General features: G+C 38.3%; 1 protein-coding gene across 3 annotated transcripts in view; it reads left to right on the top strand.

Annotated features, from left to right (window-relative positions):
- CSMD1 (CUB and Sushi multiple domains 1) overlaps positions 1 to 23,212 on the top strand; it is a 2,059,554-nt gene that overhangs the window by 977,990 nt on the left and 1,058,352 nt on the right. For all 3 annotated transcript variants that reach the window (XM_011534752.3, NM_033225.6, XM_017013731.2), the window contains exon 5: positions 18,815 to 19,022. In XM_011534752.3, coding sequence (XP_011533054.1) covers positions 18,815 to 19,022 — 208 coding nt within the window. The remainder of the gene's footprint in view (positions 1 to 18,814; positions 19,023 to 23,212) is intronic.

Raw genomic sequence — 23,212 nt, 5'->3', positions numbered from 1 at the left:
CAATTGGGATTATGGCATTTGGGATTGTGTTTTTCAGGATTGTGAACCATACCCAACTAAAACTGCTGTTCTTGGTCTTTGATAGACATGACTTCCAACAACCTCATGGATGTCAAATAAAACAACGACCAAAAAAACCCAACTATACACATAAACTTAGGTCAACAGAGCCCTTAACCCAAGAGGGTGGTTTGGCTATAGGGTCTTCCTAACATGTTACTTAAAGGCTAAATCTATTTTGCTGAAGCTCTTGCTTTACAGAGTAAGACAAACCTGTAGAAGACAAAGCAAAGAGTCATCTCTTCACCCAAATAATTTTCCTCATCTGGGGAAAGGCTTTTTAGGATTGAGGACTAAGTGAATCTTCATCTTTTCTCCTCTTTCCTTCTCATAGCCCCAGATCCTTCACTAAAACCTTGGACCTCCTTGTCCTCCAGGAAGCTTGCATTCTTGGGCAGAGGCCTGAGACCTGGAGACGTCTAAGAGACAGGCTCAGTGCAGCTGCAGGGTCATGCATCTTCTCTGCCACTGGCTCGATCATCTCGGGAAGCCAATTCAGGCAAGAGGAGATTGCAAAATGTCTGAGAGTCAGTTGGTCAGTAGTTAATTATTCCCCATTTATTTTCTATTTCCATCTACTGGAATCTTTTTAGGTACCTATGAATTACTCAAGCAGGAAAGCAAAGGGAATGGAGAGATCACATGACTAAATATTTTACTTAGACTAAACCTCTCTGGCAAGTGTTACGTTATGAACGTTCAATGCTTTTATGCAATCCTATCTAAAATGTTTTATATGAACTTTTATATGATCCCATCCCAAAATTTCCTGGTAAATATTAATGGGTAGATTTTCCAGATATGGAATCACATTCTCTGAGAGCTTAGATGTCATGTCCAAGGCTGAAAGACAGTGGCTGATAAGGCCAGCTCTGACTTGGTGCTTTTCTACATTTCCCTCCAACGGCAACCTTCTTGGGGGCAGTTGAAGAGACATTTTGTTGTTTGTTGCCATTTGTTTGTTTCTGTTTTGCTTGGAAGCATGAGATGTAAACCATAGAAAACGGCAGCATACGAACCATTATTGGGAAGTTACGCCGCTTGCTTAGTGAATGAAGTTTCACCCTTGTTTTTGTCTGAACACATACATTTAAGATAAGTATTCACCTAAACATGTCAAAACACATTGTCAGTATTTTTCAACAGTTTTAGATAAAATGGGATGTAGCAGCTGTCTTGAGTTTTTTTTTTTTTTTTTTTTTTAAGATTCAAACTGATTTTTATCTATTTTGAGACTGTTGTATTTCTTGGAGACTGAATGATAGTCATTGGGCCAAGATGCCACTAAATAACATAGCAGTAGCACTGATACCTTTAATAAAACATGCTAAATAGTGTAGGCCCATTGTTGCTTTTAGACCTATCTGAAGCTGTGGTTTTCTTTAATTGTTAAGCCTTACGTAATGTGACTGGAAATGGCAATATGTCACTTGCCAATTCTATATGAACTGTCAGTCGAGGTTTTTTAATCATAGGCATTCTGCTACTAGAGATGAAAAGGCAGGAAAACTAGGAACGACATAGCCAGAGGGGAGAAGGAAGAGAAGTCATGCTTTTTATGGGTGCCTATAAATTCTGCGATATTTAAAACACAGCTGTGTTTTTATCAATTATGTTTCAGCGGTAACATTGTAAAATGAATCTTAAATGATCTGTCACGTCAGGACAAGAAATACAAAGTAAGACTGAATGGGACAGTTTTTATATAAGAAACCTAGCTTTCAATTTTTTGAGTAGTTTTAGACAATTTGGTTTTAAGCACCTTTCTTGCATACTTTGCAATAAACAATTCCAGTGTAAATCGTATCAAAATTAAAACTGTTCAAAAAAATCAGTCTTAGATTCTAGTAAACCTGGTCTACGTGGTTTGCATATTTGCTGTGCTACATTTTCTGCCAAGCACGTCATTCACGTTATCTCATCCCATACAATCTTGTAACAGGCTTAAAAAATAATCAGAAGTGGCTCTGCCCATTATTTTCAGCTTTGTGGGTTACTTTGTAGTATTTCTAAAATTATTTTATTCCATGCAGATACCATGTTAGGTTATAGAGCTGTAAAGATGAATGTGTCTAGTGCCAGAATGAATCCATGCCCAGGTAAATGCCCTTCTTTGTGATGGGCAGTCATGCGAAGTGTTTACCAGCAAGGACTTTGTCATTCTAGCTCCAGCCTCATCACAAGTTGGCACAGCTCAGACGAGCTCTTTTCTTGCTAAGACCCAGGCTCTGAATTTGTTAAGTTGGGCTAATATTACTTTTAATCTCACAGGAGTGATAAAGATTAGATGAGATGATCCAGGTGCTTAATACCAATAACGGCTATTAGGATCGCATAGTAGTCCTTGAAGAGTAAGGGGGAACAGACATCAAAAGAAGCCAACTCAATGTCTAAAAAGCTTCTTAGAGGCTGAAGTCACAGAACAGAGAACATTTATATTCTCCTGGAGAAGATTAGTGTTAAATCATACACACTTCTATGTGCATTGACATAATTTGATTCTCAATATTTTACAGATTATTTTCTCTCTATAATTGAATGTGATGAATGTTTCCCATGTTCACTTCGACACGCAATGCCATAATTAGTGTCTCTGTACATATAGCACTGTGTTTGTTGCTTCTGTTAGATTTTTTTCCTAAGGAAAGATTTCTAGGAATGTTGTTTATGCTTTGCAAACTTAATGAATGCATTTCTAATGTTATGACAGTTCACCACAATTAATATAACTTTTGATACTTGCATTTCTTTTTAATTTGCTGAGTTTGAGGGCATTGAAATGATGCTCAAAAGTTGTTTTTATTGCCTTTGATTTCCAATACACATCAATATTTCTCCGTATGTCCTTTCAGTATTTACGTGTGTTAATTCTTTCTTCCAAGGAACGTTTATTGAGGACCTGCAAAGTATTACATACACTTATCAATCAGGGCTGGTAAACATTTTTTGTCAAAGGCCAGATAGCAAATATTTTGTTTTCATGTCATATGATCTCTGTTTTAGCTACCCTTGTCTGTCACTGTAGATCAAAAGACCCCATAGACACCACCTAAACAGATAGACTGGCTGTGTTTCAGTAAAGCCTAATGTATAAAACCAGATACTGGACTGAATGTAACCCACAAGCTATAGTTCGCCAACATTTGTTGTAGCTGCTGGGGCTACAATATGAACAAAACAAGAAAGAATTCCAATCTTTGCAGAAATATCATTTTAATGGGTGGAGATAGATAACATAAATAAGCAAATGAGAAGCAACAGATAAACTTTGCTGTCCTGTTGAAATAAGTGTTTGTAAGTGTTCTCACTGAGAAGCTGACATGTAATTAAGAGCTATGGTGACCATCTGCCTGGTCACTGCCTGGACAGGACTCTCCTGGTCTTATCACCTAAGATCCCATGTCCTGGAAACCCCCCTGATAGTAGAAAACCGGAATATTTGGACCTCTAATGAACGGGACAGAGTGAGCCCTGCGAGAATATCAGAAATGTGGTTCTGACAGAGGGATCAACCAGGTGTTTGGCCTTGAGACAACAGCGTACGGTGAGTGAACGAAGAATAGAGCAACGGCAGTGTGGCCTGAGCAGATGGGATAATTGGAGGGTTGTAGGAGAGACAGTCAGAGGATAGGAGAGGGGAAAGGTCCCGGAGGATCCCAGAGGATAGGAGTGGGCCCTGTAGATCAGCCTTTGGACTTTAACCTCTATACTGAGCAGTGTGGGAGCACAATGGGGGGATACGAGAAGAAAAACGACATCGTGTGACACAGCATTTGAGAGGATTACTCTGGCTACTTATGAGAAAAGAACATAAGCTGAGAAGGGAAAAAATAAAAAACCTATTAGAAAATCATTGCAAAATGAAAATGAGAGGTGTTGTTACTTGAGAGATGACAGGAGCAGAGGAGATGGCCAGACACATTTGGACTCAGAATGCTGTTTAAAGAAGGTGCTGATGGAATTTCCCTACACAGTGGTTGTGACACATGAGAGACATAGAAGAGTCATGGATGGCACCGTGTGTCTTCTCGTGCAACACTGGAAGAATGGAGTTACCGTTTATTGAGATGGAGAAGACTGTGAGATTGCAGATTTGAAAATGGAAAGAGCAAAAGAACCATTTTAGGGCTAGTTAGTCTGGATTGCTATTTAGACATTCTATGGAGTTGAAATAGGGAGTTGGATACATAAAGCTGGAATTCAGGAGACATTCATGGAACTGATGGACACTCTGAAAACTGTAGACATACAGATGACATAGTCACTGAGGCCTACTGAGGGGAGGAAGGAGGTGGTGACGGTTGAATAACTACCTGCCAGGTGCTGTGATCACTACCTGGGTGTAGGGATCATGCATACACCACACCTCGAAACACAAGATTTATGCAAGTAACAAACCTGCATGTGTACCCCTGAAACAAAAATAAAAGTTAAGAATAAAACATAAAAATAAATCCACGCGACGCAAACTGGATGAGATCAACAAGGCAATGAATGAATGTATTTAGGAAGAGAAGAGGTGAAGAGAATGAATCTTGGACACCCTACCAAGGATTGGAAGATGAAATGAAACTGGCATGATGACTCAGAAGAACTGGCCAATAAGATTAGAGAAAGCCTGAAGAGTAGTATCTAAAGAGACGAGTGAGTAAAACGGCATAGAATCATATACAGTCAGCCCTGTTTACTGGTGGGTTCTGCATCCAGTTTCAATGAAATGTGGATGAAAAATATATATATATTTTAAATCTAGAAAATGTTTCATTGTGGCTATGTCTACAATATAGCTAGGCATATGATGGCTGCATCTGTACCGACCATGTACTGACTTTTTTTTTCCTTGTCATTATTACCTAAACAATACAGTATAACAGCCATTTCTGTGACATTTATATTTGGTATTATAAATAATGGAGAGATGATTTAAAGTATATGGGAAGATGTGTATAAGTTATATGCAAATAAAATTCCATTTTATATAAGGGACTTGAGCATTGTGGATCCTGGAACCAATTCCCAATGGATACCAAAGATGACTGTGCACATATTATTCCAGTGTAATTTTTATTTGGTTTTAATATTATACTACACTTGTATAAGATGTAACCACTGGGAGAAAATGAGAAAAAAGTATGCTGATAACTCCGTACTATTTTGCAAGTTCTTGTGACTTTCTAATTATTTCGTAGTTTAAAAATTTAGGAAGTGTAGGAATGAAAAGAATTCAAGGATGAGGAAATGGATGAATGTTAAATGTCACTGAGATCTTGAGTGAGATGAATCCTAGGAACTGACTCTTGGATTTCTGGCTGTGGCTGACATGTGGGCCTTCTGCAGGAAACCCAGGAGGGTGAAACTCTGACTCAAGTGGGTTCAAGAGAGGATGTAACAAGGTTAAAGACCGCAAATGTGGACATCTTTGAGACGTGTTGCAGTGAAAGGAATTTCAGAAAGTAAGGCTAGAGGGGAATGTGGAGTCTGGAAGCAGACATGGAATCAAAAGAAAAGTCTATAACATTGTTTTTGAATGGGGGCAATTGGAGCACGGTTATATGCAGAGAGCAATTCTCCACTAAAAACACAAATAGTCGTTTTGAAAGAGAAGAAAACTGGTAAAGTCGTGGCTTAAAAACTTGATCAGAGAGGAAAGGTAGAACACAAACAGGTGTACCCACTAGGTAGAAATATTTGCAGGAAAGATATTTTATAAGTAGGCATCAAAATTGAAGGTTATAGATTACATAATTTATCTTTCATTGCTTCTATTTTCTTTGTGAAATGGAAACCAAAGTCATCAGGTGGCAGTGAGGATTTGGCAAGAGATGCTGGCAGCTTTAGAAGGAAGAAGGCATGAAACAGTCATCCCCCAGAAAGGGAGCAGTGAACAGATACAGAAAGTGAAGCGGGATTGCTGGGCATCATTATGGGCCAATGTAGGATTATGGCCATATATGTAAAGTTAGACCTTTCAGTATGTTTTTGGTTTTGGAATTCCTCCAGCTGTTTTACCTGCAAGGATATAAAAGTGGACTTGGCCTAGACTGGAACCAAAGGTGTTTTACTGTGATGATGGCAGAGTTATGGTAAATGCAAGGAAGTGCATTAGGCCATGAGCCCTAAGGATGGTAAGACAAGAGATGAGGACATGATAGGGACAAGGAAAAGAAAGTGAAGGGGAGGCAGAGTCAGGGAACTCTAGGTCCCATGAGTCAAAAAATTATGAGTTTAGGTGTTTGGGTAAGTGACCTGGTATGGAGAGTTGGGCTCAGAATGTAGTCAGACTGCAGCTGTAGAAACTGATGCCTTACTGGTAGTGAGAAGATAGAGGGTGATGATGGGAATGGTGATGGCATGGCTGAGGTAGAGTTGGGCTGTTGGAAGAGAGGGGAGAATTAATCAAAGAGGTTATGTTTTTCCCAGGATTACCTGTGTTGACATTGAAATGACCGAGAATTTGTGCAGAGGTAGAGGTGAAGAGGCTGACAGAGGGCCCGAAGTTTAAATCTTCTTGGAATAGTGGATTTCAAGTAGGGGTTTGTAGATGACTACAAGGCAGAGGGTGCCAGATTATTATGGCAAGAGACTCAAAGCTGGGCACATGAGGGAGGGAAGACCATGAGTCACCTGGAAGTAGCCATGAGATGCATGTGGGTGGGCACAGTCTGCCAGCAGGACCAGTGTACGTGGACTACAGATGTAAAACATTGGCTACTGAGATGACTTCAGAGAAGACATTCAGGTTTCCATCAGAGGAAGAAGGGAAGGAAAATATGTCAGAAGTAGTTGGAATGTAGGAAATTCTGTTTATAATTGACTTTCAGTTTTCGAGGAAGTAGTAGGAGACATTCAGGAGCATAGGAAGAATTAAGATTAGGGGGTCAGAAAATAAGATGTGTAGATCTTTTAGAGGATGAGAGTTGGAGGGATAAAGGGCGACAGAGGAGACCAGGGCTTTTTGCAGGGACTGTTGTAAAGGAAGACAAAGGATGTACGAGAGTACCCTCTTAATGGCCTCAGGCATGAAGTAAGTGGGGTTGACTCTCTGAGAACAGGAGGGAGGGGGATGGAGCAGGAATGGTCCATGTCTCTGGGTTCCTTTCATTCTGGCTCCTGGAGGAGTGAGCGCCTGTGGAGGTAGGTACATCCTGACCACCAACTCTTTGTGGCCCTTCCTTCCTCAATAATATCTCCCAGTATTACAAGCTATTATATTACATATGTGGGTGTATTTCTTATTTCTTTCCTGGATATTTCCCCATGCAATTGTAAAAATTGAGTTGGAATTACACATCCAACTGTATAACCTGCATTTTTAAATTTAACATCATGACTTAGAAATTCACTGAAGGAATATTATAAATGCTTGGTAAACACATTTGATGACCCTATGGTTTGAATGTATCATAGCTTATTTAATGATGTATCCGCTGTTGAATATTTAGATTATTTCAATTTTTCTTTATGATAAACATGGCAGTTTGCTTCTAAGTAATGTTCTATTCTGTATTTTAAATTATGTCCGTAAGATAGATTTCCAGCAAGTTTTATACCCACAAAAGGGGCACAAAAATTCTAGAGTTGAGAAATACACTTTTTTAAAAAGTCTGAAATTACTTGGGAGGAAATAGAAATCAGTTCATTCTGATTTGCACTTACATTTAGAATTATTTTCCCAACCTACAGAAATAAATAGATTCAAATGCATCTTTCCTTAAATGCCTTATGTTCTTCTTGGATTAAGTCAGTGGTGTTCAACCATTTTTTAACTGCACAACATTTTCTTCAAATGCAGAATTTTATGATAACTCAATAAAGGAAAAATATTTTTAAAAATAATTACTCTGATGGAAATTCGGTATGGGCACAAAACCTACCCACTGACGATTTTGCTGTTTGTAAACATTAACTCTTTGGCATGGAAATCATAGGAGCACAATTTAGAAAATACTGAATCAGACTGGGCGCGGTGGCTCACGCCTGTAATCCCAGCACTTTGGGAGGCCGAGGCGGACGGATCAGGAGGTCAGGAGATCGAGACCATCCTGGCTAACACATTGAAATCCCGTCTCTACCAAAAACACAAAAAATTAGCCAGGCGTGGTGCCGGATGCCTGTATTCCCAGCTACTCAGGAGGCTGAGGCAGGAGAATGATGTGAACCCGGGATGGGGAGCTTGCAGTTACCTGAGATCGCACCACTGCACTCCAGCCTGGGCGACAGAGCGAGACCCTGTCTCAAAAAAAAAAAAAAAAAAAAAAAAAAAAGAAAAAAAGAAAGAAAATACTGAATCATGTGTTGTGTGCTAACTTTAACAATCAAGTATTTATCTGTAACTTTCAACAATAACTTCAAGTTTTGTTCTGCATCATGTGTAAACAAGGGAGAGCTGAAATTTTAAATAGCATTTATTTAATTCTGTCACCAAATTTCAGATTCCAAATAAAAAAAAATTATATAATACATATTAGTGTCTGAAAACTTTGATATATTTTCATGCTTATTAGTATCCATGGAATAAAAGGAGCTTCCATTATATTAATAGATCACCTAAAAATTGAACAGAATAACTATATTTGTTTTAATAATTACATATTTTAATACATTTCATATTTTATATGTGGTTTTTAAGTTAAACTTGAACTTGATGGAACTTGAACTAATTTTTCCAGCTGCCCTGTAGCTTGCTCATATTTGTCCTTTTAAAATGTTTTGCTGTGACTATTTTGTTTTCTCTACCTGCCTTGACTTTATTTCATGCAGCTCTGGTGAGTTTAAAAACAAAGAAAAAACCTCCTGGACTTGTGGTTTTCCTGCTTGCTGAAAACAAGCAAAGCAAAAACACACAAATAAACCTCTTATGGATTGCTACAATTATGAATCGTTCTTTTTGGTAATTAATTTTTATCTGAAATTTCGCTCTATTAAGAGTTCTTGAGGCAGTTTTTATAGACTACTTTTTTTTAACACTCATTCTTAAGAAAGCCACAGATCTCTATAACTAAATAAACTTTTCTTCTTCTATTCTTAGAGAGGATATGGTTTGATTCCGTGCATAGCCCCCTAAATATATTTTGTCATAGTCCCAACACTTGTTAAAGACAAATGAATAGAGGCTTGTTTGCAACTGATATAACTGTAGGAAAGCCAGAGTCATTCAATTTTCATTCATTGCATGAAAAAAAAAAAGAGGAAGAAAGAATACTTCTATCAGGCCGCCTCCTAGGAACAGGTGCACGCAAGTGCAAGAACAGGCTCATAAAGCTTGCATTCCATTGCTTTGCACTCAGCACGCACCGAGAGGTAAGCATACAGGATGGAGAGGTGGGAAGCAATCTAGGTGAGTGCTAGTTTAAATATGGTGGCCAGAGAGGGCGGGCAGGAAAGTGCCTTGTGAGGGGCTCTGAAGTCAGACAGGGAGATGTGCTTCTCAGGCAGGTGGTCATTGCAAAGGCCTTAGGGCAGGAACATAGGTGCCCTGGCCCCAGGAAGCAGTGTGGCTAGACCCAGTGAGGAAAAGAGGAAATGGGAGCCAAAGGAGGTGGAGGATGAGGAACAGAAGAAGCCAACATTCCAGCTCACATAATGCCTTTCAGGGCCTGGTAAGCTTTGGTTTTATTATGAGTGGTGATTTGAGTAGTTCACAGCTTTGAATAGAAAATATATAGAAGGCATGTTCTATGAAAGTGGGCATCAGTGCTTGATTTCACTGAGAAATAGTAAAAGTCGTGGCCAGGCTCGGTGGCTGACACCTGTAATACCAAAACTTTGGGAGGCCGAGGTGGCTGGATCACGAAGTGAGGAGATCGAGACCATCCTGGCTAACACGGTGAAACCCCGTCTCTACTAAAAATACACACATACACACAAAAATTAGCCGGGTGTGGTGGTGTGTGCCTGTAGTCCCAGCTACTCGTGAGTCTGAAGCAGGAGAATCGCTTGAACCCAGGAGGCGGAGCTTGCAGTGAGCCGAGATCACGCCACTGCACTCCAGCCTGGGCAACAGAGTGAGTCTCCATCTCAAAAAAAAAAAAAAAAAAAAAATAGGAAAAGTCCTGGATTCTCTCAGCGACAAAAGAAATATGAATGGTGATATAAGCCGTAATAAATAGTGGTGAGTTCCTTCTGGTTCCAGTCTGGACTTCATTTTATAGAAATCAGATATTCTGACATTGCCATCTGCATGTGCAGATTAAAAGGAAAAGGACATAAACAAGTGCTGTTCCCTCTCTTGCTTACCTATGGATTTGACAAGGGGAAGGATCAATTATAAATAAAACTAACATCCCAAGAATATTGCCATTATTTATTTATTTATTTATTCTGAGGCAAGGCCTCACTCTGTCGCTCAGGCCAAGTGCAGTGGGGTGATCTTGGCTCACTGCAACCTCTGCCTCCCAAGTTCAAGCGATTCTTCGGCCTCAGCCTCCCAAGAAGCTGGAATTACAGGCATGGACCACCACACCCAGCTATTTTTTGTATTTTTAGTAGAGACAGGGTTTCACCATGTTGGCCAGGCTGGCCTCAAACTGCTGACCTCAGGTGATCCATCCATCTCAGCCTCCCAAATGCTTTTCATTTTTTGTTTATTCCAGAGTCATGATCCTGTGGGTGAATGATCCTTACTCCTGCGCACAAAGTCAATATATTTCTGTCCCGGAATTCTCAGCAACTGCATGAGAATGCACCCAAAAATGTCATGGGGAATTTGCAGTACATAAATCATCTGTGGTTGATATGTGAATATCAAGTCTCCTCGGACATGGTGCTTTCTGTTGCATCTGTTGGGAATGCTCTTCCTCCAGCTCATTCCTTGAATAGTTCCTTTTTTTCAAATCTGTCCTAAATATTGTGTTTTCAGAAAACCCTTCTCTGCTCATTCTAGTAGAGAATTAGTTTTCGTATGTATTGAATGAATAAATTAATTAACATAAATGCATGGTTCTGCAAAGTCAACTTCTAAGCCAATTCCCAGTGATTTTGGCAGCCAGCTCCTGTTCATGGGGACCAGGGAATTAAAAGACAGTGCTTATGCTAGCAATCCGGGGTCTGTTAATGCCAAGTGCAAATGAGATTCTGACACTAATTATTCTGATGTTAATGTTTGCTTGTATACAATAACTCACTTCCACATATTTAGCTGAAACAAATCAAATGAGGGAGTCTTGAAAGTTCTTCTGTTGTTTGAAGTGGGAAGAAAGCACCAAATATAGTATCCATGGGAGACACCCTATGTTCTCTCAATTGAGAGTGAATTTATGACTGCAAACCTTATAATACCATGTGGAACGTCCTTACACAATAAAAGACAATTCAGAAAATAAAGAATGAGCCAATTCGTTGAGAAAGGCAAGTGTATCGCCACATGATTTGAAACTGGAGATAATTCAGTGTTCATGTCGGCCACCATGTTGAGACAGTGGCCCTGCAAAGCACTTGTCTGTGTCTAATTGGTTGCAGAGGGAGTGACCACCCGGCCACGTGTGTCTGTTCAAGGAGCCGGACCCGCCCCTGCATTACGTTTTCTGCAAGTACAATGAATGTCTGTAGGCTTGAAACTTTTTTTATTATTTTATTTTATTTTCTATAAGTTATTGGGGTGTAGATGGTGTTTGGTTACATAAGTAAGTTCTTCAGTGGTGATTTCTGAGATGGTGCACCCACCACCTGTGCAGTATGCACTGCATCATATATGTTGTCTTTTATCCCCTTTCCCCACTCCCACTCTTCCCCCCAAATCTCCAAAGTCCATTATATCATTCCTATTCCTTTGCATCCTCATAGCTTGGCTCCCACACATCAGTGAGAACATAGGATGTTTGGTTTTCCATTCCTCAGTACTTCACTTAGAATAAGAGTCACTAGGGAGGCTGAGGCTGGCAGATCACGAGGTCAGGAGATTGAGACCATCCTGGCTAACACGGTGAAACCCTGTCTCTACTAAAAATACAAAAAATTAGCTGGGCATGGTGGCGGGCGCCTGTAGTCCCAGCTACTCGGGAGGCTGAGGCAGGAGAATGGCGTGAACCCGGGAGGCGGAGCTTACAGTGAGCCAAGATCGCGCCACTGCACTCCAGCCTGGGCAACAGAGTGAGACGCCATCTCAAAAACAAAACAAAACAAAAAAAGAATAAAGAATAATAGTCACCAATCTCATCCAGGTCAACTTTGTAACCTAACCAGCTGAATCTTTTTAAGAAAGTGACTATTTCATACACAAATTTATTGAAATCTAAAATATATTGTAGAATAGTAAAATGAAGGAAAGAAGGAAAATCCCAAATAAATATGTTTTGTTTATAATACCAAATTAGGTTGCTAAAAATACTACTTCATTTTTATGTTTTCATTGTTGCTGAATATAACACAAAAATCCAGATATATAATAGATAAATTAGGCCATTTTATTTTACTATAAAATAGCCTTTCCTTTAAAAAAAAAAAAAAGATTCATGGCAGAATTTATTTTAAAACAAAAACAACAGCATCTCTAATATGTTTTAAATATATTGTTTGTGGATATACTCTCTCAGAAACACATAAAGTTCTACACGTACTATGATTAAGAATTCCCAAGTTTCATTCATTATTCATGAATGTTACTGGGATGTTTTTTAGATGTTAAACTATTTCTTGACAAAAGATTGAAGGAGTTTTTAAATCCCTCATAACAATTATATTACTATAATACCACAATTATATTAAAATGTTTATATTTCTTAGTCTTTATAGTTAACTTGAAATATACATATGTATACAGCTTAACGTAGATAAATTTGTTCTGCTTTTTCACAGATCAGACATTATACCCTTTTTTCTGTTTTACTATAGAGTATTTATGGTGATTAATTTTAATTTTATTTAGTTGATCATATATTTTCTGAGTCTCTGAATGTTTTCCAGTTGATGGTTTTTTTGTTTTGTTCTGTTTTCTAAAAAAATGAAAAACATTTCTCTTTTGGTAGCTGTGAAAGAGGAACAAAAACAAACATTTTATCACACGTTTTGGATGTGATTAAATAGTTCACATAATGACCTTGGTAGAATATCAGACACGTACAATATACTCAGTAGACATCAGACCCTAAGTTGAGTAATTTGCCGGCGTATATGAGCCCTCTCAGTGTCACTCGCCTGTGTTGGTAAATCGCCTGAAGCACTGTGTTAATGCATGTTGATATTAGGAACATACAACTAGATCAGTTTTACTCTTCGTATTTATGTATTTTCAGAATTTATCTTTTTAATGTATATTAGAAGGCATTTCAGTGTTGTTTTAATTTGAATGCCTATCATAATAAGAAAGATTGAAACTTCACCTGTGTTTGTTTTTAATTTTGGTTTGTTCTAGAATTCACTCTTATTTAAATTGCCATTTAAAATCTTTTTTTCCCATGTATCTGTTTGTGTCTTGTTATTTACTTATCTATTTATTTATTTATTTATTTGTTTGTTTTTTTGTTTGTTTGTTTATTGAGACAGTGTCTTGCTGTGTCGCCCAGGCTGGAGTGCAGTAGGGCAATCTCTGCTCACTGCAAGCTCCACCTCCCAGGTTCACACCATTCTCCTGCCTCAGCCTCGCGAGTAGCTGGGATTACAAGTGCCCGTCACCACACCCAGCTACTTTTATGTGTTTTTAGTAGAGAGGGGGTTTCACCATGTTAGCCAGGATGGTCTCGATCTCCTGACCTCGTGATCCACCCTCCTAGGGCTCCCAAAGTGTTGGGACTACAGGCATCAGCCACCGCGCCAAGCCTGTATCTTGTTTCTTAAAATACAAAGCAAGTAAGTATAAATAATATCCCCCTGCTGTGTTGTTGCAAATATTTTTTTATTGTGTTGTTTTTATTTTTATACATTTATTTTGAAAAAATTAAACAGGTAGATTGGTTTACTTATAAAGTTATTTTTGCTTCCGTAACATTCACAGTTTCTGTTTAGTTGAGATAATGCTTAATTTGAGACCATATATTATATTTTAATGTAACAAGTTACCCATTATTTAATACATTCAAACATTTTAATTTGTGTAACAGGTATTTTGTATGAGGGAATTTTTAAGTTGATATTTTAAAACTTTCTATTCAGTTCTTCCAATATACTTTGTTAAATAATGTCTCTTCACTCATCATTTATGATGTACATTTAATCATATTGGGTCCTTGTAGCACTCCACACTGCAGGGATAATGGTTCCCATTTCTGTCAGCAAAGCTTTTATCCTTTAGCGATATGTGGGAGCAATTTAATATCTTTAGCAGCTAAACTGGAAGATAAGTTCACAAGTAAATATTATATCAAAAATTAAGTAATTAATTTTTCTCAGTCGAAATGGGCTTTGAAAACTGTTTCCTCTGTGGCATTATTTATAAAATTGATCATCCTGTAGAGCTTCATAGATCTAAGAGGAAACAAACTGATTTATTTTTAAAAATGTTTTGCTCATCAAACATATTAGTTAGGTAGCTCTTCTTCAAATGCTATTATGTTTAAAATGTTGCTGTTTAGAAAGTAAAATCCCTTACAAAAATAGCGGAGAAATTAAGAGTTAAAAAGTTTTGTTAGAGAAGTACTTACAGCACTATAGCAGGTGCTTTCAAACACAAACACACACATACACACAAACACACGCACACACATGCACACACACTCACACACACACACTCACAGGCACCAACACTAATTTTGCCTCATTCTGTGCTAAAGATTTTCTGTGATTTAAGCATTTTATCCCATGAGTACCATGAAGTTTTTTTGTTTGTCTTATATGTGTAATATTCAATTAATCAATCAGACTATCTTAATAATCTTCTACTATATTTTATGTGGAGTGCTATACAAACAATTCTAATATATCTTGCATATATTATTTTGGCCTGATTCTAACTGTAACTCATTCCGGAATATTCTATGGACATTAACATATCTACTGAAGAAATGCAATAGTCATAAGGTTTGGGAATTTTTTTTTTCCTCTGTGCTACCTTAATTGTTTTTTTCTTCATTTTATTTGACTTTTCTATTTTGCCTTCTTTATGTCATCTACTCCTTTCCCAACAAAGTTACCCTTAAATTTCACCACTTGTCTGTTGCAGTCAGTGCTCTGGTCTTACCTGGATTCAGTGAGCCTAGTACTCATGCTGGCCCAGTGAACTATGGGTCTCCATGATCCACTCATTCATCAACGGAAATTCTAGGAAAATGTAGATAGTAAGTGTCTAAGATCTTAGACTCAGGGGACTCAAATATTAGACAGGGGCATAACATTGCAGTTTATCCAGCTCAGCCACTGGCATTTTAAATAGAAGGAAACTGCATGGCAGTGAGGTATGCTCATTTGATCAGGGTTGGTACTCAGGGGTGGGCACCAGCACAGTTCTGTCAGCTGTTAAAATAAAAAAGAACCCTCTTTTACCAGTTAACTCATATCCACTACCCGGAGCCCTACAAACTCCCTAGACACCTTCTGCAGGTCATCGAACCTTCCAGCAGTGGAGAAACCAGGGGGCTAATGGCTGCAGGGTGGGGGCCCTGGACTCTGTCCTGGAGCTATGGCTGGTGTCCCTGTTATGTTGGCTGCCTGTAAACACTCCTGTCAGATAGGTTTAAATTCACTTCTGGTCAAGGTTACTGAGAGGTTTTCCCAGAAGAATCGGTTAAGCTTCTTATTCTATACACTTGTATTCTATGTTTATTCTATACCATGCACATAAATACGACTATTTCAAAGCTTTTTAAATAATAGAAAGTGATTCAGCTCATCGACTGCCATGACAAAAATTCATAATCATTTGATGTCAGTTTTTTTTTTCCTTTTTTTATTTTCCCCTCTGAAACATTGAAAGGGGGGATTTCTTGCCAACAAGGTGAATTATGAAGAATGTATGTAGTTTCAGCAGTTGGATTTCAATTAATATGTCATTAATCTTTCAACTACATCATTTTGGTAACGTGGACTTTGATAATTTTCTTTTAATTCCACACATCTATGATATTTTATCTTCTTAGGTAATAAAGGTATTAGAACTCTTTTCTTCTGCATCTGTGTTTACATTGAGATGCCATAACTTTTGTAGTATATAATGAATTCAGAGAAAAGAATAAAATCTAAATATTAAATAAAATTATATATTTATACATGAAAAACAATTATTACTCTGGAAATATTAATGTGTGTGATATGTTTATATAGAGTTATTTAATCAATAATAAAAGTAAATATCTGTCTCTAGTGATCCTGTTTACCTCATCCCTTTATGAAGGAGATATTTATATTTGCGTTTAAAGAAAAACAACGTAGAGTATGAGTCACTTTTAGTTGTTAACCTGATTCACCATTATCCCAACACAAGGGGCTTAGAGCTGAATTCTGCCCAATATCTGAATCTCAGTAGTAGCCACTGTATTTTTCCTCATGGCTGGAATATGTTCTTCCTCTTATTTTTATATGGTACTGATTTTTATCTCTGTTCAAAAATACAATTTTGACAGGGAACTGTATATGTATGATCACATTCCCAGTAGCTCTTCCCAAGAATGTAATAAAAACTGTGGCGAGCTGGGCAGTTGTGCAGCTGGTTCTCAGTTGACCAGGGAAGTGTGTGTGCTTGCACAGTGGTGTCCACGGAGGGCGGGGGGCAGGAGAGACATTCGGCTGTTCCCAAGAATGTAATAAAAACTGCGGCGAGCTGGGCAGTTGTGCAGCTTGTTCTCAGTTGACCAGGGAAGTGTGTGTGCTTGCACAGTGGTGCCCACGGAGGGCGGGGGGCAGGACAGACATTTGGTAGTGGGCACAGGAAGTACTTTTGCAGTTTTCAAATTGTAGTATACACACAGTTATTTTTATTCGTGTTTGGTTTTACACTTTTAAAAGGAAACACTACCGTGGTAGCATAATTTTTATAATCTGTGCACTTAATAATTATTAATCTTAAAATAAATTTGGGATCTAAAAAATGAGTTTCCTGAGATGTCCTACAAAACATGGGCAGCCCTTTCCACAACGTCACGTGCTTTGGATGGGAGTCACAGACTGGCTAACTATTAAAACATGAGAACACCCATCCCTCATGTAGTCTTGATTTCGTTCATACTTGAAGGTAGTAATTTTCCTCCAAGTGTACCTCTCAAAGACGTCCATTCTAAAGCTGCCATTAGCATTAGTTGACATAAACAGCATGAGAATGCCTAGTGTGTAGACCAGCCTGGCATCCCGTAGGAAGGATGGGAAATGCAATACTCCAAACTCCGGGAACAAAAACCGTGTGCTGTCAACTACCCCTATGCCCCTGGCATTCTTCTGAGTAAACTGAAGGCAGCTAATTTGAAGGGACCTATATCACCCTCTTACTGTTGCCGACAAGATTGGTTCTATTTTGACGTTTTTGTGAGGCTTAGATCCTGCCAAAATAAAACGAACATCGCTGAAAGATGAAAGAAATATTGGAACTTGCAACTTGGGAAGAGTTAATAAAAGGAGGTCATTTCCTCTCACTTCGGTATAATTTTGGTGGAGAGAGGGTGGGTAGGGTCGAAGATATGCACTTTGTAAGAGCTCAGGCCGGTCACACAACCTCTGCTTACAGCAAACTCCCCCCATCTTGGTAACAGGCTGACTTTTACATATCATCCACATTGCAGTATCAGAATTAATGACTGTTAAATATATATTATGGATAGGAAGTATTTGAGGAAAGAAAGAAAAAGAAGAAAGAAAAGGAAGAAAGAAAGGAGGGAAGGAAGAAATTTTAAAAAACATGCTTTAAAACATGTTATTTTAAAATACTTCTCTCTCATATATGTAATTTATATATATAACATAGCTATATATAGTATATAAAGTATCATATAGTTTATATGTTATTTATATATAAACTATCATATAGTTTATGTTATTTATATATAAACTACCATATAGTTTGTTATTTATATATAAACTACTATATAGTTTGTTATTTATATATAAACTACCATATAGATTATATGTTATATATATCAACTATATATAGTTTAAAATGCATATAATATTTTGTAATAGATAAAATAAATGTAACAAAGAAGCTTTTTTACTCTATAGCAAACTTACCAAGATCTGTTTCCTTTCTAACCAATAATTTTTTAATTGTTAGTTTCTATTTTAAATGCACTTTTATCTTTACTGGCCTTTCACTTATCACTTTTCTAAGATATTCCATTTTAAGTTTCATGTAACTGTTTTCTACTCAGAACCTTTTTATGAGGTGATGTGCCTCTTTTATGTTACTCAATAGCTATCTGAAATTCAAAACCCAAATTAATCCCAAATTTATGGAAAATAAATTTAAGACAACCATTTCTTTTAAGAGCACAGTATTCTCAAAGCCAGGTATCCATGAATAAACGCCCACATGTTTTTAAGTCTCAAAATGTTGCTTACATAGTGTCATCTTCCAGGATTCGGAGAAAATCTCTGAAAATCTTGTTAGGCTGCCTATCAATGTCAGGTACATGGCAACTACACTTTCCATGTTTCAGAAAAGCCACCGTTTCCATCTTTCCCGCAATGGCCATTCAATTAATAAGATAATTTAAATGTTAGAGTCTTGTAAGCCTTTTCATAGAACTCATTAACATACCAAAAGATTCTTTTTCAGATTGAGTGTCTCAATTTTGGGTTCAGAAAATATTTGTCGCTGATCAAGAGTGACACTTGGTGGACACACTCGTGTATGAAAACCATCCTGAAATGTGATGCTTTCTTTCTGCTTTTGCCCCTGCAGCTGAGGGAGCCTGCGGAGGAACCTTACGCGGGACCAGCAGCTCCATCTCCAGCCCGCACTTCCCTTCAGAGTACGAGAACAACGCGGACTGCACCTGGACCATTCTGGCTGAGCCCGGGGACACCATTGCGCTGGTCTTCACTGACTTTCAGCTAGAAGAAGGATATGATTTCTTAGAGATCAGTGGCACGGAAGCTCCATCCATATGGTAAGTCCCGGGAAGAGATGCCACAAAGGATACAGGTGTGTTTTCCCCGTTTTTTCCCCCAACGAGCTTCAAGAATTGCTTGTCTCTGGACGTTCATGGGCAAGCATGTGTGTTCCTTTTTTCGCCTTGCTCTTTTGGCTCTGGAAAAGTTACCTTTACTGTGAGTAATTTCAAAGTTTCTAAGATGTCTTTGTGCTGGTGTTTGGAGCTCGGGAAGTCATCTGTGTGCTTGAACTTGTAGTGCTGTCATTTTTGGACTGTTTTAAAGCAACCAAGTAAGGTGAGTTAGTTTTGGGTTTGGTCTGAAGCTGTTTCACTGTGAGCAGAGATTTTTAGATTGTGTATTTTCTTTTATCTCACGTTAGCGAGAATTGACAGACTGCTGCAGATATATGATTGTGCTTTCCTTTTTCTTCGTGAAGACTGTGTACCACATTCTGTAGCCACCTGTGGGGAAGTGCCCGTGGCTACAAGATCCTCAAAGGCAAAATAACTTAACACACATCTTAGTCCACTATATGTATAAAATTAACCGCAGGGTGGTCAGTTCTCTGGTGTGTACCCCAGTAGAGACAAAGGAAAACAAGATCTAATGAAGTACCGCCTATTTAGGAGTGATGGTCGTGATTGCAAGAATAGTATCGTTTGTGTCCATAAGTGCCATTTGAGAGACTTAAAAACATAGCATAGATGTTTAAGGCCTTAATTTCTATCTTGAATTAAGTCATTTGTTGCATGTAAAATTGTGTTATTGTTTTTATTATTTTAAACCTGAACACTTTAAAACTGCTTCAGTTATCTGTTTTAGATCTTGAAATATGACTAAACAAGAATGGGTATGTTGAAACTCAGGTAGACACAGAGGAAATGTTGGCCATTTATGAGTAGGAAGAGGGGAATATGGAATGAGTGATTGTGAACATGTCGGCAGGTTGCAGTTTGCATTTTAGTATGAAGGCTACCAGACAAACATGTCAAACATGAAGCATATTGTAAATATGAGCACCTGTTTTAAACCGATTATTGGAATTGAATTGAGTTGCACTTTGTTTTCCAAATCACAAGGCTCAATGCTGATGATTCCTATTCATGGAGAAGTCCTTTCCTGGTTGATTTTATTGTGCTTGTTTTAAATGTTATTTCAAATAGGAGGGAGGAAGAAACCAAACAAATTCTACCTAGATTGTCTTTGTTTTCAATTTTTTTCATGCTGAACAACACTTTTAGATTAGCCAGGACCAATCTGCTTAATGTAGGTTGTATGACTTTAACTTTAAACACTCAGGAATTTGTTTAAATTATTACCTATCTCGCTATGTCTAACATTAGAGTTCATGGAAGCAAAAGCTGAGCCGAGAGGTGGATAACCTAAGTTATACCACAGGTTCTGCCAAAAGCAAATCCTTATGACTTCAGACAAGTCGATTTGTAAAAAGAGAGGCTGTGCTAAAAAAAAAATCTTAAAAATGAATTTATTAAGCATCTCTTTAGTACATATGCTCTACTAATCATTTAAAGATATTCAAGTGATCTCACCTCTTCCTAGTTTTAAAATTATTGTGGTTTTCAGAAAATAATTGAAGTATAAAATATATAGGGACTCATTCTCAGAAGTTATATGCTTAAAGTTAAAGGTCTTATTTTTAGGACAGTCCAGAGGTATTGGGCATTGACTGCACACCTTGCTAGTAAGATGTCAGGTTGGGAGAGAGGTAGAAGCAAGTGAGGCCGATTTGTTAGTGATTCTAGAACCTATGATCAGTGGCAGCTTTTGCCAAAGAAACTTAGTTTGTGTCAGAAAATACAGATCATGAGTGTGATGAGAAGCGTGTTCTGAAAAGTTGATGGGACCATTGTAGCACTTTATGGCAACAATTGATCATCCTTGTCATAGAGAGTATCAGCACAGATAGCCAGAGAGACTACCACTGTCTTCTTGGTGCCTGGATCCAGGCTGGAAGACATCTTCTACATCACTGGAATCTCTCTCTGTATTTGCTAGGGAAGCTGGTGGGAAAGTTATCAGTGGGAACTATGATCCTGTGTGCCTTCATGTCTAATAAACTCTGTTGCCTGTTAGCTTAGCTGCTCTCTTCAAATAGCCATGATTAGCCGGGGATAGAGTTGTATTTATACTTGTATTCTTGGGATGACTTATATTGTCCTATTTGCTTGGCGCAAAAGCCCTGTGGGGTCATTATTCTTACTATTGTCTACTATTGTCTCTTTATTATTGTAGATTTAAAAATAAAACTGAGATATGCAGAGGACAAGAGATGGCAAAGCTGATGGAGCCCTTGGCAGAGCTCAGGTTCAAGGTCTCTGACTCCACGGCATTTTCTTCTCTCTATGTATAGCCCCTCAGTCAGTGTAGTCCAGGTCTGAGCTTCAATGCCCTGTCAGAGAAGTAGAGTTTCTCTGTTTCAGGACTACAGGCTGGATCATAAAGCCTTGAACAGGTAACTGTCGGGGTAAAGATGGAAAAGCAATTTAGCATATGTCGTGGGTCAACAGAGTGTTTTGTGTGTATGTGTAACATTTAATGTTTATCATAATAGTCAAAAGAAGTATCTTAACACAGCCACAAGGACTACGTTTAAGTGGAACTCTCAGCTTTCAATGACTCTTCAGTGGAGGCTGAAAAGCAAAAGATGGTTCTCCTAAATAACTATGGAAACCTACAGGAGCACATTTAAAACATAAAACAGAATAATTTGAAGTACCCTTTTAAGGCCTATACAAATGCATAATATGATTTATCTTAAAAAGCCTATTATTTTACAGTAATTCTACAGTGACAGTCTCTGAAATATTTCATGAATCAAATTGGTGTATTTAAAAGGTTTCCCCATTCCCGAATTGCATAGACAGGGACGGGGAGCATTGTGGGTGCTGCGACCTCTTCCCAAGCACAGGGTCATTCCACAGAGCCAGGAGGGTGGTGCGAGTGACTGTGAGTGGAGTGAGGGCAGATACACATATGATCTTCCAATAATCTATTTTTAAAAAAGGGCATATAAGCAAGGGCACTCTCAGAAGAAGCTACTTGGAAAATTGTTAGGAACAATAATAGGATTAGCCTTATTTTCATTTAATTTGGAGTGAAATTACCCACTGAGCTATGTTTTAAGTCAGGGTTGCCATGGCAGCAGTGGAGGCAGTCTAAATATAGGGGATGATGTCATGTGCCAAAATTATCTTTATATTAAACATACGTTGGGTTCGTAATTTAAGCCTCATAGGCTATAGGTACATTAGTTGAAACTGACTTTTTTTTTTAACTAGTCGGATTCTAATTTCATGCAGGTTGGCTTCCTATCAATCCCTTGCTTTAACAGAGAGTTGCCATTTTGAGTTCACTTTATAGCATGGTCTAGTCATTATTTTTCTTGCAATTAGGAAGGATTTGTGTAGTGGTGAGACTAGCCAAGTGTTCTTTTTTTTTTTTTTTTTTTCTGAAGAGATTTGATGGTGTAGCCTATAACTTGTACTTCTAATAATATCAAGAAGAAAGAAAATTGATTTCATTTCTGAGTTCTCCCTCTATGGTTTCTAAATTAAGACATGATGGTTAACGGGATTAAGGTTGTATAGTCTTGGCTGGGAACACTGAGGGAGCATTTACTCCCTTTAAAATATGAACTTATATAACAAAAGAAACAGGCTTCCATACCCTTCTGTGACAGGGAATGTGTAGAGGATAGAGAAGGTAAGGAAAAAGAAAATAAAAATAAATGCATTGAAAATGTGTCCCAAAACAAATATAAATGCATCGATTCTTAACTTCCATGACTGAGCTTCAGCTCCCTGAGACAGAGCCTGGAAGCCTCAGTGTGCCTTCCCAAGCTGTCCACAGCTACCGATTTGGCCCCATCCTGGCTCCCTCCCTGCCAGGCACGCCCATCCCCTTGCAGTTTGCCCCTGTGAACCCATCCCTGTCTTTATGTTACTGGGCGTTTTCATCCCTGGTGCATTTGTTCAGCTGCACGTTTCCACGTGGAAATCGCCCACTGCCTATCTTTTGTCGATCCCATTATCATAATGCTTAGAGGGGCATGCAGAGTACCTGGAAGAACACTACATAAATAATGCAAGTGAAACAAACAGGTTGTGTGATCTCCCTCCCTGGAAAACATCAGCCATAATAAATGCAAGAACATTTCTTCCGCTTTGGATTAGGGCTGCCTTAT

The sequence above is a fragment of the Homo sapiens genome, chromosome 8 (assembly GCF_000001405.40).
Source record: "Homo sapiens chromosome 8, GRCh38.p14 Primary Assembly".
NCBI lineage: Eukaryota > Metazoa > Chordata > Mammalia > Primates > Hominidae > Homo > Homo sapiens.
The sequence above is the reverse complement of the archived record's forward strand: the minus strand, read 5'-3'. Positions and strand labels throughout refer to the sequence as shown.